General features: G+C 41.2%; 1 protein-coding gene and 2 pseudogenes across 2 annotated transcripts in view, besides 3 other annotated features; all 3 read left to right on the top strand.

Moving 5' to 3' along the window:
- Positions 15973 to 16267: an enhancer, noted in NCBI's record as "tiled region #8189; HepG2 Activating non-DNase unmatched - State 4:PromP, and K562 Activating DNase unmatched - State 8:EnhW". NCBI's record gives its function as "activates a minimal TATA promoter and a strong SV40 promoter by Sharpr-MPRA in HepG2 cells, with weaker activation in K562 cells {active_cell/tissue: HepG2 | K562}" and the evidence as "EXISTENCE:reporter gene assay evidence [ECO:0000049][PMID:27701403]".
- KRT18P28 (keratin 18 pseudogene 28) lies at positions 18429 to 19822 on the top strand (annotated as a pseudogene).
- Positions 20260 to 20771: an enhancer, noted in NCBI's record as "OCT4-NANOG-H3K27ac-H3K4me1 hESC enhancer chr1:182927205-182927716 (GRCh37/hg19 assembly coordinates)". NCBI's record gives its function as "activates a minimal SCP1, AML or CMV promoter by ChIP-STARR-seq in naive and primed H9 embryonic stem cells {active_cell/tissue: H9 hESC(naive and primed)}" and the evidence as "EXISTENCE:reporter gene assay evidence [ECO:0000049][PMID:30033119]".
- Positions 20772 to 21282: an enhancer, noted in NCBI's record as "OCT4-NANOG-H3K27ac-H3K4me1 hESC enhancer chr1:182926694-182927204 (GRCh37/hg19 assembly coordinates)". NCBI's record gives its function as "activates a minimal SCP1, AML or CMV promoter by ChIP-STARR-seq in naive and primed H9 embryonic stem cells {active_cell/tissue: H9 hESC(naive and primed)}" and the evidence as "EXISTENCE:reporter gene assay evidence [ECO:0000049][PMID:30033119]".
- On the top strand, positions 23043 to 23651 carry LOC100271717 (natural cytotoxicity triggering receptor 1 pseudogene; annotated as a pseudogene).
- SHCBP1L (SHC binding and spindle associated 1 like) overlaps positions 25675 to 27535 on the top strand; it is a 53302-nt gene continuing 51441 nt past the window's right edge. Inside the window, exons 1-3 of one of the 2 annotated variants that reach the window (NM_001345928.2) lie at positions 25675 to 26112; positions 26852 to 26904; positions 27374 to 27523. In NM_001345928.2, the coding sequence (NP_001332857.1) occupies positions 26857 to 26904; positions 27374 to 27523 (198 nt within the window). In that variant the 5' untranslated portion in view covers positions 25675 to 26112; positions 26852 to 26856. The remainder of the gene's footprint in view (positions 26113 to 26851; positions 26905 to 27373; positions 27524 to 27535) is intronic. The other variant, NM_030933.4, reaches the window with a different exon arrangement.

Here is a 27535-nt window from a genome sequence, read left to right as displayed (position 1 = left end):
GCAGAGGTTGCAGTGAGCCGAGATCATGCCACTGCACTCCAGCCTAGTCAACAGAGCCAGACCCTGCCTTGGCAAAAAGAAAAAAAAAAAGAAAAAGAAAATTAAAAACATCTATATGACAAAAGACAGCATAAACAAGTTAAAATACAAATGACAACCTCAGAGAAGATATATGCAACATATGTGACTAATAAAAAATTAGTACTCAGAATGTTTCAAAACAAACCACCCAATAGAAAATCAGGCAAAATACGTGAGCAGCCAACTCATAAAAAAGGAAATTAAATGGTCAGTAAGAAAGATGATCAACCTCACTAGTATAGTCATGTGCTCCATAACGATGTTTTGGTCAATGATAGACCACATACATGACGGTGGTCTCATAAGATTATAATGGAGCTGAAAAATCCCCATTGCCTAGTGACATTGTAGTTATCCTGACATAGCCATGGAAATGTCATAGCACAATGCATTACTCACGTGGGTGTGGTGATGCTGGTGGGAACACACCTACTGTGCTGCCAGTCCTATAAAAGTATAGTAAATGCAATGATGTGCAGTACATACTACTTGATAATGATAATAAATGACCATATTACTGTTATACGTATTTATAATGCTTTGGATCACTACTTTACAGTGTACTTCTTCTACTTATTAAAATAAAAAGTTAACTGTAAAACAGCCTCAGGCTGGTCCTTCAGGAGGTATTCCAGAAGAAGGCATTGTTATCATAGGAGATAACAGCTCCATGCATGTTGTTACTCCTAAAGACCTTCCAGGAGACAAGATATGAAGGTGGAAGGCAGAGATACTGAGGATCCTGACTCTGTGTAGGCCTGGGCTAATGTGTAAGTTTGTGTCTTAGTTTTTCACCAAAAAAGCTTAAAAAAATTAAAGTTAGAGAAAAGTTTATAGAATAAGGATATACGGAAAGAAAATGCTTTTGGACAGATGTACAACATGTTTGTGTTTTAAGCTAAGTGTTATTGTAAAGAGTCAAAAATTTAAAAAATTTAAACATTTAAAAAGTAACAGAGTTACAGCAAGCCAAGGTTAATTTATTATTAAAGAAAAAAAATTTTAAATAAACTTAGAGTAGCCTAAGTGTCCAGTGTTGATAAAGTTTACAGTGCTGTACAGTAATGTCCTAGGCCTTCACATTCACTCACCACTCACTCCCTGACTCACACAGAACAACTTCCAGTCCTGCAAGCTCCATTCACGGTAAGTGCCTTATACAGGTGTACCATTTTTTATATTTTATACTGTACTTTTACGGTACCTTTTCTGTGTTTAGATATGTTTAGATACATAAATACTTACTATTGTGTCACAGTTGCTCACAGTATTCAGTACAGTAGCATGCTATACAGGTTTGTAGCCTACGAGCACAAGGCTATACCATGTAACCTAGGTGTGTAGTAGGCTATAACATCTGTTTGTGTAAGTACATTCTATGATGTTCACACAACTACAAAATTGCCTAAAAATGAGTTTCTCAAAATGTATCCCCATTGTTAATTAATACATGACTGTAATTAGGGAAATGGAAATTAAAGCAATAACAAATGAACACTCTCCAAGTTGGATTGGCCAAGGAAACTTTCACTTAATACTGTTTTTGATATCTACTCTGAAGTCCAAAATTCTGTTGTTGTTTCTTTCCCTTTATCTTTTTTTTTTTTTTTTTTTTGAGGCCGAGTCTCGCTCTATGGCCCAGGCTGGAGTGCAATGGTAAGATCTCGGCTCACTGCAACCTCCGCCTCCCGGGTTCAAGTGATTCTCATGCCTCAGCCTCCCAAGTAGCTGGGATTACAGGTGCTCACTACCATGCCTGGCTAATTTTTGTATTTTTAGTAGAGACAGGACTTTACCATGTTGTCCAGGCTAGTCTCGAACTCCTGACCTCAAGTGATCTGCCTGCTTCGGCCTCCCAAAGTGCTGGGATTACAGGCATGAGCCACCATGCTCGGCCCCCTTTATCTTTTATATTATATGTGTGGATTTATGACTTTAACGTTCATACATGTATGTACATATTTTCTCTCATTCTAGTTTATTTGGGAAGAAGCAGCTGTAAAAGTACCTTTAATCAGCTATTTTAACTAATTAATTAATTAAACTAATTTAGCAAATTAATCTATTCATGATTAATTTTTACCCTTAAATAAAACTCATTTTAAATGTAAAATTTATCTTTAACATAACCACAATACACCTATCACTTATTAAAATATTTAATAATTTCTCAATATCACCAGTATCATAATATCACAGTTAGTATCCAAAATTTCCAATCATCTCATACATTTATAAGAAAATTTTAGTAGTTGATCCAAAGCAGAATCTAAATAAGGTTTACATATTGGGAGTGGTTGGATATCTTTTAAGTCTGTTTGAAGCTATTGTTTTCCCCTCCTCTCTCATTTTTCTTGTGCTAGTTTGTAGTGTTTTTATTGTTGTTTTTGAAAAAACAGAGCTATTTGTCTTTTAGAATTCTCCACAATGTGGATTTCACAGAATGAATGCATCCATGTGATATAGGTGAGATTTCCTCCGTCCTCTGTATTTTCTATAAAATGGTAGTTGGATCTAGAAGATTGATCAGATTTGGGTTCAGTTTCTTTTGGCTAGACATCACAGTTGGTTTGTGCTCTTCCATCAGGAGGCACACAATGTCTGTTTCTCTCTCTTTTGTGATGTTAGCAGCAGTTGATGAGAATTAAACCCATTATTTTATTACAAATTGAAAAATGGTTATATTTTCTCAGTTCTTCTTTTATTATCTGGAATACTATAAAGAGAAACTTCTTTCACTTACTATTTGAATAACCAACAGTAATAATTTATATTTTAAAAAGCAGGATAAGCATATTTTATGTGTTTTTCAATCCATTGCAGTAAATATCCTTAACTATAATCAAGCATTTCCATCTTATCAAGCATTTCCATCTTTGCCACTGGGAACCACTTCAAGTTGGGTTCTGTGTTCTTTTGACATAGCTCTAGCTGTTCCCCAAAGACAAGATTGTCTAGCTTTGTCTTGTATATTCCCAATCCCTTTTTCTTAAAATCAGCCCTTTTTCAGAGAGTTCTTGTTTCTTTCAGTAAAAAATAGTATTTGGAGACCACAGGTAGGATACTAGCAATGCTTATTGTTACCAAGTCGGTCAATATATTTAGACCTATTCAGGAGACAGTGCTAAGTAGCTATTTTTAATGAAATATTTTATATACACCAAAACACATGTGTAATACAGATAGAGTTTAATCTTTGAGTATTCCCATACCCAGGTAATAGCCCTTTTCAGTTTTGCTTATCATTCCCTTACTTATTATGTATGCTTAAACAATGTGTTATTTTTCATTTTTTGAACTTTGTATAAATGGAATCATACTACAGATATACTCTGTGACTTTTTCGTTTGTTTATTGTGTGTTTTTTGTTAATATACTTGCTCAAGTTAGAGCACTCATCCCACAGTATAAATATATCATAATTTATTTATCTATTCTCCCAAAGATACAAATTTGGGTCATTTCCAGTTTCTTGTTCCAGTGAACAAAACAATTATGAATTTTTTGTATACGGTTCTCTTCGTGCACATGTGCACAAGTTTCTTAGTTGCTATAACTTAGAGGTGGAATTTCTGGGGTCTAGGGTCAGTCTAGCTTTTGTCCCTTCAATGACACAGAAACACCTTTGTCAAGGTTACCAAAGGCCTCTATAGTGCCAGATGAGCAATGTTCTGTTCTCCTTATGCTTGGTTCCTCAACAGTATTCAATGCAGTCTTTCCCTCCTTGGTTCACATTCCACTACAGTGGTTCTCAGGCACCACACCCCTGACATAGCTCCCATTCTAAAGGCAGCTCCTCCTCACTGTATTTTACCAGCTCTCTTAATCCTCTCTATCCTACCTCTTAAAATCAGAGCTCCTTGAAAGTACTTAGTGAGTGCTTTCTTTTCCCAACTTTATCCACACTTTCTCTAGGAGAACGCATCATTACCACGACTTCAAATACCATTTGTTTGTTTCAGATCCTAATTCTATTGACCCTCAGCTTTCTTCTCTGAACTCTGTTTGTGTAATTAACTGCTCAGATGACTCAGAGTCATCTCAAACTTAACATGTTTAAAATGGAATTTTAAATTTTTCATCATACATCCAGTGCTAACTCTAGTCTCCTAATAAACAGCACTATCATACTCTCAGCTACTGAAGCCAGTAGCCTGGCACTAACTCTTGATGCCTTCCTTTCCTTCACCACTACCCAGTCAATTCCTCACTGTGTCCTGTTGGCTTTACCTCTAAAATATATCCTGAATCTGAATGTCTCTCCACTTCGATTACCACCAACATAGCTCGAGCTATTAACTTTCACCTGAGCTTTGGCAATGATACCGTAACAGATCCTTCCACTTTTATTTTTGTTATCCTTAAATCCAATCTTTCTATAGTGACTAAAATGAAGTTTCCATTTATCAATCAAGCTCTCCCTTCCTTAAAGATTTCTGGCTGGGCGCAGTGGCTCACGCCTGTAATCCTAGCACTTTGGGAGGCCAAGGCAGGTAGATCACCTGAGGTGAGGAGTTCGAGACCAGCGTGGCCAACATGGAGAAACCCTGCCTCTACTAAAAACAAAAAAATTAGCCAGGCATGGTGGCGGGCACCTGTAATCCAGCTACTGGGAAGGCTGAGGCAGTAGAATTGCCTGAACCCAGGGGATGGAGGTTGCATTGAGCCGAGATCGCACCACTTCACTCCAGCCTCAGCGAAAGAAGGAGACTCCGTCTCAAAATAAATAAATAAATAAAAATTTTAAAAAATAAAAATAAAAATAAAAAAAGACTTCCAAAAGTTTCCCAGACTCTTATCGATGCTTTTGCAAAAGTCCATTCGTTGGTGAAGAAATGAATTTAGTGGATATTGATTAGTATTTTAAAATGAATAGAAAATATCATAGGCATTACACATTGTAAGGGTAGGATTTTCTAAGTAAACATTTTGTTTTATTTGAGTAGTGGGTGAGACATAAAATATACTTCCTACTATGAGCCATGGTCAAACATGTTTGAGAAAAGCTGCTCTACGTGATCTGTCCCCATCTGCCTCTCTAACCTCACTACGTGCCACCTTTCCCAGGGTCTGACGCCGTGGCTGTACAGGGCTACTGTCAGTCCTTCCATAATATGGCAAGCCCTTTGCCTTGCAGGGCCTTTGTACTTGCACTGCCTCTGCCTACAATGCTCCTCCTGCCAGCGTTCCCATGGATGGCCTCTTTTCATCTTTCAGGTCTTAATTAAAAGTCCCCAACCCAGAGAGAACTTCTCGGACCACCCTATTTATTTAGTTCCCCTGAGTTATTTTCTGTCTCAGCAACTTTTGTATTCCCTTCAAAACAGTAATCACATTTGTAAAAATATATTTGAAAAAGTTGTTTACAGTCTGCCTCCTCCATTAGAACATAAACCCCATTGGAGCAGAAGCCTTGTCAGTCTTTTCGCTACATTTACCCAGCATTTTGAAAACTTAATCCCATTTTGGTTACTAAAACGTCACACTTGTAAGTAAGACCCACATCACATTCAGAGATGTGCCAGAGTCAATAATTGATTATTATCTGTGAAATATTCATTGGACTTGGCAGGAGATGTGTTTTGTGGTAATAGAGGTGAATTTCCTTAATAAATTCCTGTCTGGTTCAATTTACCTTGTTACGTTGCTTCCTTAATTGGAGGATGTTTGATGGTGGCTTCCGAAATGCCGTCAATGCCTTGTTTAAAATTCCATCTAAGTTCTTAGCCTGACCGCACAGCGCTGATCAAAAGTTTAGTCTTGAGGAAATGAAGCAATTCCTTTTTCTTGGCTTAGAGTCCACCTGAACAGCCACCAAGGGTCTCTTTGTTCGGTTGGGTGGGTCCAGCTTTATGAATGAATAGCCCCTTCACTAACAAACAATAGCAGAGATCTGGGCCACTAACTAGTTGAGCAATGTTAATCTCCTTTCAGGTAATTATTTCCAGAAGTGTAGCAACTATTAGAATGTTTAGATTCCTACTGTTTGATAGAAATTTAACAAACAAATTTAAAATGTTTTATAAATCTTTTAAAGGTTTTACTTTCTGATGCAAACTTTTTAATGTCAAAAAAGCATGGTTTCATATTGAAATTCTGAAAGTTATAAACATTTTAATGAAATTATTATGAACTTATAGTTTAGAATCTAAGAGCCTGATTTTATTCATAAGTTTAATTCACTTTCAAGCCTTAAATCAAACATGGGAGACTGGTTCATTGATCAAATGTGTAGTTAACTGTTTTAATGCCTTTACCTCTCCAACTGAAGTAATGCATAAAACTTACAAGGAGGGACTGCTGTGACCTCAAATGTTTACTTCAAGAAGTTAAACATCAGACTCTGAGCAGTGGTTGATTAACAGTCTATTTCTAATAGCGTACTGACAAAGGCAACCCTATTCCATGTCTTCTTAAAAACCACCAGCTAGTTACTGTAATTGTAAGCTATCCTGTAACTTCATGGCAAAAAATAAAAAATAAAAAAATAAGCATGCCTTGCCCCAATGTCCTTAGAAACCACGGAGTCCTTAAAAACCAAAAATAAACTTTAGAATGAGAAAAATAACTTTTAAACTTTATCTTTTTTCCAAAACTACAGTTGCGAGTTAAGTAAACTGAGACTCCTCCTCACACCTTCTTGTGAACTGAAACATTTCATACTGAGTAAGAGCGGACTGGAAATGAACCATGATGAATTTAGCCTATATCTGAAAAATACCACAGCCCTTCTCCACTGTTTGACCATATTTACTGTCTTGTTAGAAGGAACTTCCAAGGGGCATTGATCCTCCCTATTTGTCTTAGACTCTGCACCTTTGTTTATAGGGTACTGCTGTGTATGGGAGGACTTCGGTTGAATTCTGAATGCTGAAAAGATAAGTGATAGGTTTATCTAAAATATGCCATTTGAAGATACTGTTCATGTCTTATAGTGTCTTGAATTCATCCCAGCCCATTTTACGGCAAGATTTATAAGCAGACTGATTTAATGTTTAAAACCCCTAAGACCTCAGATTAAAAAAAGAAGAACAAACCCCCGCAACAGCTTGTCATTTTTAACTTAATCTTGCTATCATTTAGATACCAAACTCTTGTGTGGGTTGGGACTTTTCATTCCTCTGCTGTAACTGTCAGTTTTCAATTAAAGGCCTGAACTGCTTTGGGTTCCTCAGTTCATCTTCAATTTCTCTAGTGATAAGCAAAACACATTTGTTGAGCTAACCTGGCTTTCAACACTGACGTAGGACAGCCTTCACTCTCTCATGAGTTATGCAGTGTTTCATATTATATCACAGTGACATTAGGCAGAAGTAGCCTCCAAGAATAGATTTCCTAATTGGTAATATTTCAGTTTGGCATTTCCATTTGCATTATCTAATTACAAAATTTAATTTTTAAAATTATATAAGCAAATAAAATATAAGTGAAAAGAAAGAAAAGTGTTTCTATGAGAACTAAGTTGAATGCCTTGGAACCACTTGATTGATTAAATCACTTAAACTTTTTTAGTTTTCAAATTAGATGTGGGTGACACAATATTAAAAATAACTGATATAAAAAAGTCTCAGAACAAACGCCTCAAGCATAATGGAGTAGCCACCTCCTGGCTACAAGAGTTAGTGCTATAGGCATCAGGTAGCTCAGATAGGTGGAGGTTGTTAAGAAAGTACATTTTAGTGTTGACTTAAGCCGTTTTTATGATATTCCTATTGAAAAGTATATCATAGGCCGGGTGCAGTGTCTCATGCCTGTAATCTCAGCACTTTGGGAGGCCCAGGAGGGCGGATCACCTGAAGTCAGGAGTTCGAGACCAGCCTGGCCAACTTGGTGAAACCCCGTCTCTACTAAAAATACAAGAATTAGCCAGGTATGGTGGCGCGCACCTGTAGTTCCAGCTACTCAGGAGGCTGAGGCACAAGAATCGCTTGAGCCTGAGAGGTGGAGGTTGCAGTGAGCCGATATTGTGCCACTGCACTCCAGACAGTGCGACAGAGCGAGACTCCGTCTCAAACAAAAAAAAAAGTATAAAGTGTATCATGAATGTGAAAAAGTGTGCCAAAGAAATGCAGTTGAACAATGAAGAGAGATTGATAAATAATATAATAATAAAAGCAGCAACAAAACATTCCAAAGAAAATGCCTTTTCATTTATGATTATAAACAACTCAATTTGCATTTTTAGTTACAAGCAAGAGAAACTGACTCTGGATATTTAAGCAGTTTATTAACCTAAGTTTATTTAAAAGATATTGGGTTAAAGCAGGTGAATTTTAGGGTATGTAAACTACTTCTCAATAAAGCTGTTAAAGAAAAAAAGGATACTGGGTAGCTAACAGAAGAGTGGGAGGACTGGCTTAAGGCTACGTTTCCAGGAATAACACTGAAGACCATGGTACAGAACTGGCTGATGAGGAACCTGCTGCTGCTGCTTCTGTCCTTCCCACTACTGAGGGGCACACCATTGGCCCTGCTGCCTAGGACTGACTTTACAGTGCCCCGTACTGCGGCCCAGCACCAAAGCTATCTCCTGGGTGAGAACCTTTCTGAAATAAAATTTCACATGCTTATGTTCTAGCTACAAAGGACCCCAGGGAACTGAGTTTTCTGGGTTTGTATCTTGGGAAGCAGAATTCCTAAGGCCAGAGATTTCCTAAAAATAGCAAGAATGATCAAAAGATGCTGGACAGCCTAAAAACATAAGAAATATCTATATCAACAGCTTACAATTTTCAGTGGATGTATGTATGTTCAGTCAAATTCTTCTAATCCAGGACTTATGATACCAGAGCTCTAGAATTCCACATCCAGTGTGTGGCTTATCGAATCTCTGATTTCTCCAAAAGAATACAAGAAAATCTGTGGTGACTGTATATATAGTCAGCCCTCCGTATCTGCAAAGGATTCAACCAACCAGATGGAAACCTGCCGATAGAGTATGGAGTATGCCAGGACTGTACTACACAATTTTATGTAAGGGGCTTGAGCATCCACAGTTTTTGGTACCTGCAGGAGTCCTAGAGCAAATCCCCCCACAGATATGGAGGGCCGACTGTGTTTCTCCTAGTGGTTAAGGGTATGATCTCTGGAAGCAGATCTTCCGGATTCAAGTCCCAGTTTTGCTCCTTATTATCTGTGTAACCTTGGGCATATTTACGTAATCTGTTTCTTGAACTGTAAACTGGAGATAATAATGGTAACCTGCATTGCATGTTTTAAATGAGTCAATGTATGCAGAGCTTTTAAAACAGTGCTTGACTGAATCAGAGTGAGCTATTATCATGGGTAATGAATAAGTACTACAACCAAATGGGAACATACTGAACCTATGAACTATAGAATATGTGCAAAGCACATAGATGGAGGCTCAGAGATGAACGAGATGTGACCCTTGCACTCAATGCATTGGAAAGAAAATGTGGAAGATAAACACATAAACTGTAATACAGGACAGATAGTGATGGTGATAAGTGTACAATATTGGTACACACAAAATATTATGTAACTATTAAGGATGGTGAGATTCTTTTCTGCAAGAACCTTGTGAGACATTTTGGAGTCTGTCAGGTTTTAACTATGTCTTAAATAAATAGTGCAAATTTGATGGGCAGATATTGCAGGGAGGAAGGGAAAGACGGCATTCCAAACAGGAATAGAGCAGTTTGAAAAAAGCCCAGAGGTAAGAAATGATATGAAAGGAATCAGGTGTTTGCATGAGATAAGGAAAGGTTAGTAGGATACAAGGCTAGAAAAGGCAGCATGGACCAGATTGTGGAGTGCTTTAAATGCTACTTGGGGGAGAGGCACCTGATGATGAATGTAATGAAATCTTAATTGTTTTGTGCCTGGGGAGCTTCAACCCATCCCAAATCATTCTATCCCAGACTGTTCCATTTTTTTCTAGTCCATAGTTACCCTCCATTTCTAAGCTCTTTGGAAAAATATCTTTTCAAGTTGGCAAGATGAAATAAATTACATTTATAAGACAAATTGGAACCTACTTTGAACTGACCTTGACTGGAGTTTTAAAATTCCCCATAACTATATTCTTCCCTGAGCTGCCTAAAGGTGATTGTTATTATCTCAACAGGCAAAAGCCAGTTAAAACTATTCAGTGATTCAAGTTTTTCAGCATTTATGAGGCAAAGATATGACCACTTTTCTCACTCACCTCTCTACAAGCACATTTTTTCCCTCTTACTCACCCTAAGATCAAAGAGAATGGTATGGAGAAATAAAGTTTAAGTCGTGCAGTTCTTTATCTAAAATGAAGATAGTTTCCCCTTTCCTTCGTGTTTGGTATGTTCCCAGCAGGAACGAATCCACAGAAAAAGATGGGTGAGTGGCTCCCTTGAACAGCACTTGTTCATTTATGTTCCCTTGGGCCTTAAGTCCCTGGGCCAGCCTAGGTCTGGCCAGAGTCCCTGGTCAGTCCAAAGCTCCAGCATCTCTCATCCAGCAGTAATTCCTTCATGTGGCGAGCCTTCCAAACCTGCAACCAATGAATTGACCTATGAAACATGTTACCAGCAAAACACATTTATGGCTTAGACTTTTAAAACATAAAATGAATCTAAGTTAAAGAGTACTCCAAAAGAAACAGGATTTGGAATTCTTAGTGATAGAGAACATACTCTTGTTAAAAACTCAGTGTGACTGTGCATGAAAGTCCATGCTCTGTAAATTTGGGTCTATGACTCAAAACCAAATAGGGGTCAGGCACAATGGCTCACACCTGTAATCCCAGAACTTTGGGAGGCTGAGGTGGGCAGATCGCTTAAGGCCAAGAGTTCGAGACCAGTCTGGCCAACATGGTGAAACCCCTTCTCTACTAAAAATACAAAAATTAGCCAGGTGTTGTGGCGTGAGCCTGTAATCCCAGCTACTTGGGAGTCTGAGGCATTAGAATTGCTTGAACCCAGAAGGTGGAGGTTTCAGTGAGCCGAGATTGCACCACTGCCCTCCAGCCTAGACAACAGTGAGACTCTTTCTCAAAAAAACAAAACAAAACAAAAAAACCCACCAAAATGGGAAACTCACTTGTTCTACCAAATACCTGATTGCTTTACTAGTACATACAACACAAACTATTAGTTTTTGTTTGTTTGTTTGTTTGTTTGTTTGAGATGGAGTCTTGGTCTGTCTCCCAGGCTGGATTGTAGTAGTGCAATCTCGGCTCACTGCAACATCTGCGTCCTGAGTTCAAGCGATTCTCCTGCCTCAGCCACCTGAGTAGCTGGGATTATGGGAGCTGGCCACCATGCCCAGCTAATTTTTTATAGATAATTTTATAATATTTTAAAAATAAATATAATAATTTTTATAGATAATTTTTTGTATTTTTAATAGAGATGGGGTTTGAACATGTTGGCCAAACTGGTCTCAAACTCCTGACCTCAAGTGATCCACCTGCCTTGTCCTCCCAAAGTGCTGGGATTACAGACGTGAGCCACCGTGCCTGGCCAAAAACTTTTTAAAAAATAACTGGCCAGGCGTGGTGTCTCATGCCTGTAATCCCAACTACGTGGGAGTCTGAGGCATGAGAATTGCTTGAACCCAGAAGGCGGAGGTTGCAGTGAGCTGAGACTGCACCACTGCCCTCCAGCCTGGACAACAGAGTGAGACTCTTTCTTAAACAAAAGAACAAAACAACAAAAACACCAAAATGGGAAACTCACTTGTTCTACCAAATACCTGATTGCTTCATTACAACATAAACTATTAGTTTTTGTTTTGTTTTGTTTTTTGGGTCGGAGTCTTTCTCTGTCACCCAGGCTGGAGGGCAGTGGCGCAATCTTGGCTCACTGTAACATCTGCCTCTCGGGTTCAAGCGATTCTCCTGCCTCAGCCTCCTGAGTAGCTGGGATTACAGGCGTGCACCACCACGCCTGGCTAATTTTTGTATTTTTTAATTAAAAAAAAATAATAACTGTCTGGGCACAGTGGCTGAGACCTGTAATCCCAGCACTTTAGAAGGACAAGATGGGCGGATCCTCGAGGTCAGGAGTTCGAGGCCAGCCTGGCCAACATGGTCAAACCCCGTCTCTACTAAAAATACAAAAATTAGCCAGGCATGGTTGCCAGTGCCTGTAATCTCAGCTACTCGGAAGACTGAGGCAGGAGAATCACTTGAACCCCACAATTGGATGTTGCAGTGAGCCGAGATTGGGCCACTGCACTCCAGCCTGGGTGACAGAGTGAGACTTTGTCTCAAAAAAAAAAAAAAAAAAAGCTTGGGTATTTATTGGCCCACATAACTGAGGAGTCCAGAGGTTGTTCCAAGCTTCAGGCATAGTTGGATCAGAAGTATGGCTTTTCTTCTTTCTGCCATTATTTATGCCATCTGCTGTCTTTGTACCCAGGCTGGCTTCCATCATGGTTACAAGAGGGCTCTCAGCAATAGGGCTACCTCTTGGAAAATAATCTTATTATTTCATTGTAGGTTTAATAAATTGTTTTACTTTCCTTCAAAATCTAGTACACACTGCATTACACAAAAGCAGGGTCTTTGACAATGATTCTTCAAAGTATCAAAGTGCTGAAGCATCAACCCTCTGATAATGGGCAAGGGGTAAGGGTTAAGGTATCATGGGTGCTGTGGATGTCCTCATTGTCCAATCCTATAAGGTTTCTTCAAGCTGGATAGCTCTGCTTGTCATATGTCAGGGCAGCGCCTAGACCTTAGCTTAATTGGGAGCTCTGGCACACAGGGCTAAGCCTTCTTTTGTTGCCAGAGTTCCTCCATTATCAGTTACTTTTAAGGGATTTGGAAAATAAAGCAAAGGATATAATAAAATATTGAGACTGCTTTCTGTGGACATTGAGGAAGCCCAAAACACATTGTGAAAAGAAAAACATCTCAGTGTATCATTTTCTATTTATTATATTTTAATATGCAGGATTGTTCTATTTTTAGTCCAATTGTTAGGTAGATGAGTTAATTTGTGTAATTGCTGAAACAGTACTGAAGACGTTTTCTCTAAGGTATAGCCTGTATTTCTTTGGTGTGTGGGTGCATATGAATGTGCAGACTGTATGTGTGGTGGGGAGGTGGGTAGTCAGGGAAGTGAGAATTTGATTCCGCTTCTGAGCTAAGTGGCAGGTAACATAAACTAAACACAATTATGTGCCAACCACAGTTTTAAGCTCTTTATATACATTATCTCACTTAATTCTCCTAACTACCAAATGATGTATGTTCCATTTTTATTCCCATTCACAGATGGAGAAACCGAAGTTCAAAAAGGCAAACAAATTTCTTGAGGTTGCATAGCTAGAAAGGGGTTGAGCTGGGATCTGCGTCCATACAGTCTGTCTCCAAAGCCTGAAGACTAAACCACTAGCCTGGACTGGCTTCCATAGCTCTTTCCCCCAAAGTGTACTGTCTGATGTTCCTTAGCAATATGACAAAAGATGTCTCACAGCTCCAGAAGTGCCCTCTGAAAAGGCTTTTCCCTGGGAATTCCATAGACTTATGGTTCAGCAACAAGAACAGAAGAGCTTGTCTAAGCCTTTCCTTTTCAGGGAAACATTTGCTTTCTCCTGGTATAATGACCCTTTTCTCTTTTCATATAGTTCCACAGGTTTCAAAACTTACACAAAGAGCTACTGTTTGATTCTTTAAAATATATTTTTCTCATTATGAAGGAAATACATGCCAATTGAAAACTTCCTAAAGAAAGAAAACATAGAAATACATAAAGAACCACATAAAAATCTCCTAAAACTCCAGAGATAACTGTTAACATTTTTGTGCATTTTCATTTAGGACGTACAGCTTCATAGTGTGTTTTTTCCTATGTGGTTAGGTGGTGAACATTTTCCCATAATTCTTGAGGGCGACAACTATGTATATCTTGAGCAATGTTATATTTCCAGGGCCCAGAACAGAACCTGGCATATAACAATTAGCACCTAATTAGTAATATCTAATTATTTTATTTAATAAATATTTGTTGAATGAATGAGTGACATATGTTCCTCCAAAACGTTTTAAAAGGCCACATAACTATGAATCTATGAAATAAAATGTAACTGTCAAATCACATTAAGATAGTGCATAACTCACTTTTAGAGGTTTCCCCAGGTGAAGGCAAAGTAGTAACACAAAAAGAGCTCTGGGGCAGGAGTCAGGCAGGCAGCCTCTAGCTTAGAGCAGCCGTTATAGGCGTAACAATACAGGCTCCATTTTACTTCCTAACACTGCGGTTTCTTCACTAGTACTATGAAGGAGTTGACTGAACTGTTTGCTAAGATTCCCTTCGATGTTTACACTATGTCTTTATTTTATTTTATTTTATTTTGAGACAGAGTCTCACTCTGTTGCCCAGGCTGGAGTGCAGTGGTGCAGTCATGGCTCACTGCTGCCTTGACCTCCAGGGCTCAAACTATCCTCCGGCTTCAGCCTTCCGAGCAGCTGGGACTACAGGCACTCGCTGCCACACCTGGCTAATTTCTTTTGTATTTGTAGAGATGGAGTTTCACCATGTTGCCCAGGCTGGTCTCAAACTCTTGGCTCACCCACCTCGGCCTCCCAAAGTGCTGGGACTACAGGTGTGAGCCACCGTACCCAGCCCAAGTGTGTCCTTTTTTAGTCTTTGAAAGAGTGTTCCAGTTTTTTAAAAGATGCAGAAGTAGTATGTAAATATATTTTATTTTAAAACTTTCAAGTAATACAGAATTACATAGGGTAAAATATGAAATTGAAATTCCTCTTTTACAACCACCCCCTTCCCAATACCACTCTCCTCAAAGACTACAACTGGTACAGTTTGGTGTCTGTATGTTCTTCCATCCTTTTTCTATGCTTGAATATATGTCCAAATACAAACGTGTAATTGAAAAGAAACACAAATGGAATCATATGATACGTATTATTCTGAGAATTGCTTCTCTCCCTCCCCTTCTCTACAGTATACCTTTGGGGCCTTTTCTGAGTCAGGGCACCTAGATTGACTTCATTTTGACAATATGAATACATCATTGGTTATTTAACGATTCCACTAGTGCTAGACATGGGCTGTTTCCAGTTTTACACCACTATAAACAATGCTACAATAAATATCCTCGTATTGCATAGCATAGTGGTTAAGAGCAGGGGCGTTGGGATCCATGCATTCGAATCCTGGCTCCACCTCTTCACAGCTGTTACTTAACCTGTCCCTGCCTCAGCTTCCTCATCAATAAAATGGGGATCGCCAGGCTGTTTTTAGAGATAAATTAGTCAACGTATGTAAAGTTCTTGAACTGCACCTACCACAGTAAGTGCTAAATGCTATTATCATTATTATTAAAACTACTATAAATAAAATTTTTGTGTGCATGTGCAGCATTTCGGGGGAACTTATATCTAGAGATGGAATTGCTGGGTTGAAATTATGCACACTTAAAATTTTGAAAGTTTTTTTTTTTTAACAAGATGCCTTCCAATAAGATTTTAACTATTTCTATTTCCATCAACAGTGGTTGAGAGTGTCTGTTGTCTTCTGCCGTTGATACCCCAGTTATTATACATTTTAAGTGTCTGCTCCATTATTAGATATTTATACACTGTTCAAATTGTAGGCTAATTAGCTGATGTTATTCTTAGTGTCTTTTCCTATCAAAATTGAAACCTAAGACTTCTGATAGTTAAGACAAGTTTGGGCCATTGGCTTTTCACCAGGGTAGCTTTAGTCGGAAGTTTTAGGTTGTGTCTTGTCCATACCCAGTACTGCCTCTCCTTAGTGGAGTTCATGTGCCCTTAAACATGTATGGTGATTCTTTCTTTTTTGTGTGGTTTATGTAAAATGAAATTAAAATCATTGTTTACCTCCCAAAGAGCTGAAAACAAAAGCAGAACACAAAACAAGTATCAAGGGGTTAGTACACATTATGAAATGTTGAAGATTTAGCAGAACATCACGTCTGAGGTGAAAGAAGTGTTATATGTTACGGAAATGTGTCCGAGCTTGCCCTTTAGCAAAGTGCTGTGCTGTTGTCTTCTGAGTCAGGACTTAAAGCTATGCCTGGCTGAATGCTTCAGGCTCCACCCAGCCCTTTGGGATTGCGGGGGGGCCCTTCAATAGCCCGAAAGCTCTCTAGTGCTCTCCTCTGGTCAAAATAAGGAGGTACAGGCTTCAAAGAACTGTTGTGTTTCTTACTGCCATTGAGTATTTGTTTCCAAAGTGTTTGTTTGTTTGTTTGTTTAGTTTTTTTGTGGTTTACAAAGTTAATGTCAAAGAGTTGAGGAGGAAAAAAATTAGTGTTCTAAGAGAGAAAAATTATTTGTGAATAAATGGCCGAATGAAGTGTTCATTAATACTTATTTTTTCAATTGAGGAAAACAAAAGGAAAAAGAAATACAATTACATTTCACAGCATCCTGGTGTGCACCTCCAAAATAATACAAACCAAATCTCCACCATACAAAACTTCCAAAATACCTAAATCCCCAGTGTACTTATTTAGTGTTTTCTGACTGATGTGAGCCTTATTTATTCTTACATAGGGAAATATGAAAATAATGTGTTAGTATTAAAGACTTCCTAAAACTGTGTTACTACTAATTTATCTATGTTCTTTATAACTGAACTGTACCCTGGGAATGACTTGGTGATGGAAAAAACTTTCCTTATTTTGCAGCTGTCAAAGTCCAAGATTTTCCTTTTGACCTCCTTCAGATCTTTACTCAAACATCATCTTACGGGTGAGACCTTCCCTCTCTGCTCTGTACAAAAATTATATCCCGGGCCTACTCTCCAAAATGTCCTCATCCCTGCTCTGCCCTATCCATCTCCATATTTTTATCATTCTCCATAGCACCTAACTGTCACATAATGTGCCATAAATTTTATTTCTAAAAATTGAGATATAATTCACATACCATACGGTTCACCCATTTAAGCATACAATTCAATGGTTTCAGTTCTCAGAGTTGGGCAGTCATCATCACAATCAATTATAGTACATTCTCATCACCCCAGAAAGAAATCCTGGGCCCATTAGCAGTCAGCTCCCATTCCTTTTCAAACTCTGCCCCTCTTCCCTGGCAACCCCCAACCCCCAGCCCTAGGCAACCACTAATGTACTTTCTGTCTCTATTGATTTGCCTATTCTGGACATTTTATATAAATGGGATCATATGTTATATGGGTTTCTGTGACCTCATTTTCTGTCATTTAGCATGTTTTCAAGGTTCATCCATGTTGTAGTATGTATCAGCAGTACTTTATTCCTTTTTAAATAGCCAAATAGTATTCTACTGTATGGCTATACCACATTTTATTTATCTGTTTATCAGTTGATTGACATTTAAGTTCTTTCCACTTTATAGCTATTATAAATAATTCTGCTATGGATGTGAATGTACAAGTTTTGGGGTAGATATGTGTTTTTATTTTCTTGACAATTTTACGTAAAAAATCATGTTTATTGTCTGTCTTCAGCACCAGCACCAAATACCATGCCAGCACAGAATAGGTGCTCAATACATATCTGTAAAATAAATGAGCTATTCTCTCTCCTCTGCAGAATCTCAAGCGTGTTGCCAACGAGATTCTTCAGTTTGTTTTAATTTTGGTCCTAACTTTTTACCTAAAGCCAGTTTAGGTGACTCTTTGTAACATGGCTTATGCATATCTCTACAGCCTGAGTTTTTGTCCCAAATTGTCCTCTACTCCTGCTATATTCAGCTACCTAGACCAAGTTCTTCTACCCCTGGATAAAGCCACTAACTACTCTCTCTGCTTAGAATATTTACCTTACTCCATCCCCGCATTCTGTCCCTGCTTTAGGTGCCTATAGTTTCCTTCTCTTTCATAACTCAGCCCACCTGGGAATTTTATCTGCTAACAGAAGTAGAAATTAATTACATTCTTTTTGGGAAACGGCTTGGCAATACTGAGAGCGTTAAAATGTTTCTACATCTTGACTCAGTAATCCCACCTTCCCCTAGAGGAATATCTGAAATATAAGCAAAAGCTTATGCACAAAGATATTCAAAATGGCATAGTTGATGCTATAGAAATTAGTGTAGCCCAAATGCTTGAAAATATAAGGTTATACAAATTATATTTATACCAAGAAATTACATGCCACTCTTGAAAATTATGTGTTTAAGTAATTTTTAATGATATGAAAATGCTTATCTAAATAGAAAAACAAACTATAAAATTTAATATGATCTAAACTTTGTAATAGTGTGATAGAAAAAAAAATACTAAAAGAAAATATACCAAAATCTAGTAGTAGTTATTGCTGAGCATTGGAATTACAGTTCATTTAAGTTTTCTTCTTTCTTATGCTTTTCTGTATTGTCCAAATTGGCTCAGGGTAGAGGCATTGCTTTCATAATTAGTAAAAAGTAGGTCGTCGGCAAAGCCGGAGTCCTGTCTTCTTATTCTCCTCTGCAGACAGCATGAACTTCACCACTCGCTCCACCTCCACCAACTACCAGTCCCTGGGCTCTGTCCAGGCGCCCAGCTATGGCCCTCCGCCAGTCAGCAGCACAGCCAGCGTCTATGCAGGCGTCGGGGGCTCTGGTTCCCAAATCTCCATGTCCCGCTCCACCAGCTTCCAGGGCGGCATGGGGTCCGGGGGCCTGGCCGCGGGGATGGCTGGGGGTCTGGCAGAAATGGGAGGCATCCAGAATGAAAAGGAGCCCATGCAAAGCCTGAACCACCACCTGGCCTTCTACCTGGACAGAGTGAGGAGCCTGGAGACCAAGAACCGGAAGCTGGAGAGCAAAATCCGGGAGCACCTGGAGAAGAAGGGACCCAGGTCAGAGACTGGAGCCATTACTTCAAGACCATCAAGGATTTGAGGGCTCAGATCTTCGCAAATACTGTGGATAATGCCTGCACTGTTCTGCAGATCGACAATGCCCATCTTGCTGCTGATGACTTTAGAGTCAAGTATGAGACAGAGCTGGCCATGCGCCAGTCTGTGGAGAGTGACATCCAGGGGCTCCGCAAGGCCATTGATGACACCAGTGTCACTCGGCTGCAGCTGGAGACAGAGATCGAGGCTCTCAAGGAGGAGCTGCTCTTCATGAAGAAGAACCACGAAGAGGAAGTAAAAGGCCGACAAGCCCAGATTGTCAGCTCTGGGTTGACCTTGGAGGTAGATGCCCTCAAATCTCAGGACCTTGCCAAGATCATGGCAGACATCTGGACCCAATATGACGAGCTGGCTTGGAAGAACCAAGAAGAGCTGGGCAAGTACTGGTCTCAGCAGATTAAGGAGAGGACCACAGTGGTCACCATGCAGTCCACTGAGGTTGGAGTTGCTGAGATGACGCTCATGGAGCTGAGACATACAGTCCAGTCCTTGGAGATCAACCTAGACTTCATAAGAAATCTGAAGCCTAGCTTGGAGAACAGCCTGAGGGAGGCGGAGGCCCACTGCACCCTGCAGATGGAGCAGCTCAATGGGATCCTGCTGCACCTGGAGTCAGAGCTAGCACAGACCTGGGCAGAGGGACAGCGCCAGGCCCAGGAGTATGAGGCCCTGCTGAACATCAAAGTCAAGCTGGAGGCTGAGATCACCACCTACTGCGGCCTGCTGGAAGATGGCAAGGACTTCAATCTTGGTGATACCCTGGACAGGAGCAAGTCCGTGCAAACCATCCAAAAGACCACCACCCGCTGGATAGTGGATGGCAAAGTGGTGTCTGAGACCAACGACACCAAAGTTCTGAGACATTAAACTGGCAGAAGCAGGATACTCTTTGGGGAGCAGGAGGCTAATAAAAAGATCAGAGGTTTAAAAAAAAGCAATAAAAGTTATTTTAGCTCTCTTGCTTCTGCTCCAGCCATGTAAGATGTGCCTGCTTCCTCTTTTCCTTCCGCCATGATTGAAAGTTTCCTGAGGCTTCCCCAGAAGCTGAGCAGGTGCCAGCATTGTGCCTCCTGTACAGCCTGTAAAACCGATGGCTCTAGGCAAGATGTTATAGACAAATGAGAATGATGCCATCCCTCAAAATGTTATAAGGACATTTGGGTAGGGACTATCTAGACAAATAGAATGGACGGATACTGGCTAGATGGAGGAAAGACATTCTGGAATTTGGGGCTAAGAGTTGAAGGCACTGAAAAAAGAGACTTGGTATTTGAACCCTCGTCTTGCCTGGCATCTTATCCTGCAATCTTCAAGAAGTTGACTACACCATGAGAGTCAAGCCAAATTTGGGGAGTGAGAAAGAGACAAGGCTTTTCTGTCAAGAAGAGGGACAGTGGCTGTGCATGCTTCACTTTTCAGGACCACTTGGAAGAGTGCGAAAAACTCTTCCACCCCTTTCTTCTCATACAGCACAGAGTAGTTTGATGGTGAAGAAAGAGAGGGATCAGGCTGAGCACAGTAGCTCACTCCTGTAATCCCAGCACTTTGGGAGGCCGAGGCGGGCAGATCACTTGAGCTCAGGAGTTGGAGACCTGCCTGGGCAATATGGTGAAACCCTGTATCTACTAAAAATACAATAATTACCCAGACATGGTGGTGCATGCCTATCGTCCCAGTTACTCGGGAGGCTGAGGCACGAGAATCGCTTGAACCAGGGAGGTGGAGGTTGCAGTGAGCCGAGATTGCGCCCCTGTACTCTAGCCTGGGTGACACAGCAAGATTCTGTCTTGGAAAAAAAAAGAGAGAGAGAGAGGAATCCCTTTCTGCTGTTGGGCTTTTATCACTCTAATCGTTGCTATTGTTATTCATCTCCCAAGAGTAAATGGGAAATCTACTTCTCACTCAGTCCATCCTCTTGTACCTGCAGGGAGACTCTCCAATGTTGCTGACTGTTTTGAATTAGCACATTTCTTTGCAGTCCCCCATATCCACCAGGATACATTCCAAGGCCCCAGTGGATGCCGGAAACCGTGCATAGTACCATACCCTACATATGCACCAATTACTTTTTTCTCCTTCACAATTTCACAGATAGAACATTTGTTCTTACCGTAGATCTTCGCAACTTCAGTAGAGAGTTTTTTCTTTTTTTTTTTATTAAGTGGAGAGTTAGTTACTTACTTAGAAATGTTTCTTTTCTTATTAGGTTTTTTTTTTGTTTTGTTTTGTTTGTTTGTTTGTTTGTTTTGAGACAGAGTCTCGTTCTGTCTCCCAGGCTGGAGTACAGTGGTGTGATCTCGGCTCACTGCAACCTCTGTCTCCTGGGTTCAAGCGATTCTCCTGCCTTAGCCTCCTGAGTAGCTGGGACTACAGGTGCCCGCCACCACGCCTGGCTAATTTTTGTATTTTTAGTAGAGACAGCGTTTTACCATATTGGCCAGGCTGGTCTTGAACTCCTGACCTTGTGATCAGCCCACCTCGGCCTCCCAAAGTGTTGGGATGACAGGTGAGAGCCACTGTGCCCAGCCCTTATTAAGTCTTTAAGTGGGAAGCTTTTCTTTTCACTTTTATTTTATTTTATTGAAATATTATAACAAATCATTGAAGAAGATAGTGTTATCATTCCATTCTGATAAAACCAATTAACTTATCCAAGCATGTGCATGCTGTACACAGAAGATCCACCGTTAAAAAGTCCCTATTTTTACTTACTTTTCTTAGATTCAGCGGATACATGTGCAGGTTTCTTATATGAGTATATTATGTAATGCTGAGGCTTGCACTTTTAATGATCCAGTCACCCAACTAGTGAGCATAGTACCAAATACATAGTTTTTCAAGTCTTGCCCCCCTCCTTCTCTCCTCCTTTTTGGAGTCCCCAGTTACTGTTGTTCCCTTCTTTGTGTTCACATGTACCCAGTGTTTAGCTCCCACTTATAAGTGAGAACATGGTTTTCTGCTTCTGTGTTAATTTGCTTAGGATAAAGCCTTCCACCTGCATCCATGTTACTGCAAAAATCTTGTGCCTTTTCACAGCTGTATAGTATTCCATGGTGTATATGTACTACATTTTCTTAATCCAATCCACTACTGTTGGGCACCTGGGTTGATTCCATATCTTTGCTATTGTGAAGTGCTCCAATGGACATACAAGTGCATGTGTCTTTTTGGTAGAATTATTTATTTTCCTTTGGATATATACCCAGGAATGGGATTGCTGGGCTGAATGGTAATTCTATTTGTAGTTCTTTGAAAAATCTCCAAACTGCTTTCCACAGTGGCTGAACTAATTTACACTCCCACCAACAGTGTGTAAACCTTCCTCTTTGCTCCACAATCTCACCAGCGTCTGTGAATTTCTGACTTTTTAGTAATAGCCATTCTGACTGGTGTGAGATGGTAATGGTATCTCATTGTGAAATTCCCTATATTTTTATATGATTCTCAGGGGGTATCATGGGTCTGAATACTGACTCATGCCCTGGGCATGACTTCCACATTGCAGAATTGAGAAGTTGACCCAGAAATGCATTTCAGGCTGAGCAGACAATTATCAGAGGAGCTGGCTAGACCACAGCTGTGGTCAGATGTGTCATAGGGACCATGGCCTTTCTGTAGACTCATGGTCAGAGGTGGAGAGGAGCTGTGAACCTTCTTGTGAAAAAAGTCAAGGTGAAAGCTGCCCCGTGGTGATGGGCGCTGGGCCTCACCTACCACATACTGTGCATCTCCTGGCCTGCTGGGCTCAGTCCCCACCCCACTGCTTGGCACTCGACTGGCAGAATCTGAGTGATGCCTTCTGCACTCCCTGCCCTGCTCTGCCACTGGCTGTGTCTGAGCCAGAGGATCAGTGCTCAGCAGCAGACTCTCCCAAAACCCATCATCTGGGCTGAACCCAGTTCATGAATCCAAATGAAAAGCCGGTGACCATCTGTCACTGGGGAGATTCTGAGGCTGTTGAATACCAGCTGTACTTTGAAGGAAGCCTTTCTGCCATGGAGAGACCAAAACCCCCTGAATGGATTAACAAAGTTGAATTCCACATCCTACTCATGACCTTCCGCACAGCAGGGCTATACAGCTGCTTCTATCTGGCTGGGGAGCTCTGGTCGGAGCCCAGTGACTCTGGATCTGGTGGTAACAGGAGGGAAGATCCAGCCGCACACAGTGCAGATATGGGAATGTCCAGGCGGAGTTCCCCATTGGTCCTGTGACCACAACCCACAGAGGGACATACCGATGTTTTGGCTCCTATAACAACCATGTGTGGTCTTTCCCCAGTGAACTGGCAAAGCTCCTGATCATAGGTGACATTGAGAACACCAGCAGACCCCACCTCTTCTGGCTCTTGGGACACCTACCTTTTAACCAGAGACGGGACTCCAGAAAGACTGTGCCCTCTGAGACCACACTGCCCAGAATCTCCTTCAGATGGGCCTAGCTTTCCTTGTCCTGGTGACTCTGGTGTGATTCCTAGTTGAAGACTGGCTCAGCAGGAAGAGGACTAGAGGGCGAGCCAACAGAGCTTCCACTTGGGATTGCGGCAGAAGGTTGAGAACACAAAGACCCCTTGAAGAATGACCAAGAAACGCAGTGGCCATGGGTGGAACTGAAAGCCGATCTTGAGCCTGGGCATTGGGAGCTCTGTGTTGGGAGAAGGGAGTCATTGTAGGAAAAAGGGACAGTGGTATTCCATTTGTCAAAGCATCCTGGAGGAGACAGGAGGTGGGAGAAACAAGCTAAATTTCTTTGGGAGGCAAAAAAAAAGAAAAAAGTTGTTTTAAAAACTCAGCTTAAGTATCCCTTCTTTGGAGAAGAAAGGTCCTTTTCTCCTACAATGTGGAATATATGTGTATATATATACACACACACACACACACACACACGCATATATATACACACATAAATAAATACAAATTATTTGTGTGTATATAAATATATATATGTATGTATTTATGTGTATTTACATAAATAAAAGCATGGTCCTTACCAAACACAATCATCTACTGACCCATCTGTATCTTTCACTAGGATTACGAGGGCAGGGATTTGGTCTTTTACCTCTATAACTGTGGCATCTACGCATTGTGTGGCATGTAACAGATTTCTAACAAGTATTTGCCTTTTGGAGGAAAAGGGAGCTGTTGCTGTTTTTAAACTTTGGCCCAGGACAGGTGGTCTTTATTATTCAGAACCTAAGAATTAAAAAACCCATAATTTATCAAAAACAAACTTTTGAAGAAACACTAGAGTAAAACATTTGTGTGTGTGTGTGTGAGTGAAATATGCAGTTAGTATTGTTATAAACAAAGTCCAGGACTCAACGAAAGGAATAAAGTAAGAATAGAATTGAAACATGATGCATGTTGTAATTATTCCCTAAACTACAGTAACATGATGTTAATTTTTTTTTTTTTTTTTTTTTTGAGACGGAGTCCCGCTCTTTAGCCTAGGCCGGATTGCAGTGGCGCAATCTCGGCTCACTGCAAGCTCCGCCTCCCAGGTTCACGCCATTCTCCTGCCTCAGCCTCCCGAGTAGCTGGGACTACAGGCGCCCGCCACTGCGCCCGGCTAATTTTTTGTATTTTTAGTAGAGACGGGGTTTCACCGTGTTAGCCAAGATGGTCTCGATCTCCTGACCTTGTGATCCGCCCGCCTCGGCCTCCCAAAGCGCTGGGATTACAGGCGTGAGCCACCGCGCCCAGCCACATGATGTTAATATTTTCCTCAAAATAAACTCAGAATTTAACATAGTGTTCTTCCAGACGAGTGTGAAGGAAGGCAGGTGTTTTCCCAATGCTGTTCTCCTTGGGAGCTGTCAGCTTCAGTGCAGTATTTCACAGCTAGACTGTGAACAAACGTTAATTCCAATTGGCTCAATATACATTCAACAGTAAAATACCAGAAGTGAGTGGTCTCTGTTGTTCTCCAAAATGTATGATCTGGAACAGACTTTTATCGTGAAAGTGTTCATAGTTTGCACACATCACTCCCAGCTGGAAGTTGTTGTCCAGTTTAACAGTTATATAATATAATCTTTTATGTGAGAATTTTGAATAGCACAACAGAGACAAGAAAACAGACTAACTTCTCCTTGGTATGACCACATCTTGGCAAAAAGTGAAAGTCCTATTTAAAATGTAAAGGAAATCCTATTTGGTGAACCCTGTAATAGGTGGGGGCTAAAAGGGAAATCTAGGTTGCTGGATTTGTCACTAGGGTTTCCTCTAGTAATAGCCAGAGGGTTCCAGTTAGTGTCACCTCCCAGTATGAAAATAAATTTTCTTTCAGGCTTTGTTTGTGGAGTGGTAGGTGGAGCATTTTTTTAGGTCCTGATGACCTGGAAGGTGACTCATAATCACCCTGAAACGTATGAGGACCCTAAGGAAACCTCCCCTGGGGGAGACAGAGGGCTGGGGTTAGAGCCATTGCGTTGGGCTCGTCTGGCACCTTCTGGTGTGTGCGGCACCTGGTGGGGGTTCGGCACGGAGCCGCACCCAACACTGACCCGGGCCCCCCCACCCCTGTCCTGAGCCCAGGCGCTTCGCCCTGTCCCACCTAGCTCTGAGCAGCGCCCCCCAGCACCCTGAATGCGTCCGCAGGACCCCGCGCTCTACCCGCAGGCCCCGCACCCCCTAGCTCTGGGCCGCGCCTCACATCCCTCCCAGAGCCGCAACACCCCACCCGGCGGGACGCCCTCGAGCAGCCGCTCGTTGCGGGCCTGAAGCGCAGAGCGCCTATTGGCCAGAGCGGCCGAGGGCGGGAAAAGTGGCCAACGGCTGCCTCGGCCCTCGGGCTGCTGAGGAGATGGCGTCGGGCTCCAAGGCCTCGGTGCCCGCGGACTCATTCCGCACCATCAGCCCGGACAGGCGAGGCGAGAAGTCCGCCTCCGCTGTCTCCGGGGACACGGCGGCCGCGACCACCCTGAAGGGCACCGCGATCCCAGTGCGGTCGGTGGTGGCCTCCCCTCGCCCGGTGAAGGGGAAAGCGGGCCGGGAGACGGCCAGGCTGCGGCTCCAGCGCCTGCCCGCGGCTCAGGCCGAGGACACGGGAGAGGCGGCGGCGGCGGCGGCGGAGGAGCCCCTGCTGCCAGTGCCTGAGGATGAAGAGGAGGCGCAGCCCCTGCCCCCAGTCTGCGTGTCCCGTATGAGGGGGATGTGGCGGGACGAGAAGGTGTCGCTGTATTGCGACGAAGTGCTGCAGGACTGTAAGGTGAGCGGATCCGGGACAGGAAGACTACGGTCGGAAGCTCGTCGGAACCTGGGGACAGGCATCTGGGGCTTCCCTCTTAGGCGGATGGGGATCCACAGGGCACAACGAAAACTTGCGTTTCAAAAAAGTAAATGGAGTCAACATGTATAGAGCGTTCACCTTGTTAGAGGTGCCCGCGTCCTGCCCTAGAGGAGTTAAGGTTCGAGTTTCCGACAAAATTCGTCAGGTAACGGGACAGCCCTGAGAGAGAATTTTCTGAGAGCTCCTAAAAAATGAAGATATATTGGCCTTATCATTGCACAGGCATGAATCTTGGTACCTTTATTTAACAGTTTATGTCCAAACATGAGTAAGATCACTTAGCCTTGACTTTTACACTAGAATGCTAGAAATTACTTTAAGGGTACTTCCCACTCAGCAGTCCACAATGCGGCATGATATATATGTGTGTGTATATATATATATAAATGTGTGTGTGTGTGTGTGTGTGTGTATATATATATATATATATATATATATATATATATATATATATATTTTTTTTTTTTTTTTTTTTTTTTTTTTTTTTTTTTGGAGACGGAGTTTCATTCTTGTTGCCCATGCCGGAATGCAGTGGGGCAATCTCGGCTCACACAACCTCCGCCTCCCGGTGCAAGCAATTCTCCTGCCTCAGCCTCCCGAGTAGCTGGGATTACAGGCATGAGCCACCACGCCTGGCTAATTTTGTATTTTTTTTTAGTACAGATGGGGTTTCTCCAGTTGGTCAGGCTGGACTCGAACTCCCGACCTCAGGTAATCTGCCCGCTTCGGCCTCCCAAAGTGTTGGGATTACAGGCATGAGCCACCGTGCCTGGTGGCATGACTTTCTTTTATAGAAAATACATATCTGATAAAACGGAATAGAGCAAATATTTCATGTTTCTAACCTATTTTTTTAAGTTGTAGCAGAAGAATTTGTGTACCTGCATATTCACTGCAGTGATATTTATAAAAAGTTGAAAATTAAGACATAAACAATAACTAGCTGTCTTATCTATGAATTATTCGAGTGAATAGATCTCTTTTAAGTTTAATTTTTTGTTGGTGATGTTTTCCACTAGATGCGGTTTCAGTTAAAATCTGTAATTTTCCAGGTCATTCATTATTTAAGGCTATATTGGTTCCATTTTAAAATAGAAATCAGTAAAAAAAAAAAAAACCACTTAGTTTAAAATCTATAATTTCATATATTTATATGTAGATCCATTTTTTCTCTTGTTAGGCAGAAGATGCTGATGAAGTTATGGGTAAATACCTATCAGAAAAATTAAAGTTGAAAGACAAATGGCTTGGAGTCTGGAAGACTAATCCCAGTGTATTCTTTGTGAAATATGAAGAAGCTTCTATCCCTTTTGTTGGTATATTGGTTGAGGTAAATAAATTT

The sequence above is a fragment of the Homo sapiens genome, chromosome 1 (genome assembly GCF_000001405.40).
Source record: "Homo sapiens chromosome 1, GRCh38.p14 Primary Assembly".
Taxonomy (NCBI): Eukaryota; Metazoa; Chordata; class Mammalia; order Primates; family Hominidae; genus Homo; species Homo sapiens.
Note: the sequence above shows the minus strand (reverse complement) of the source record. Positions and strands in the feature narration are given on the sequence as shown.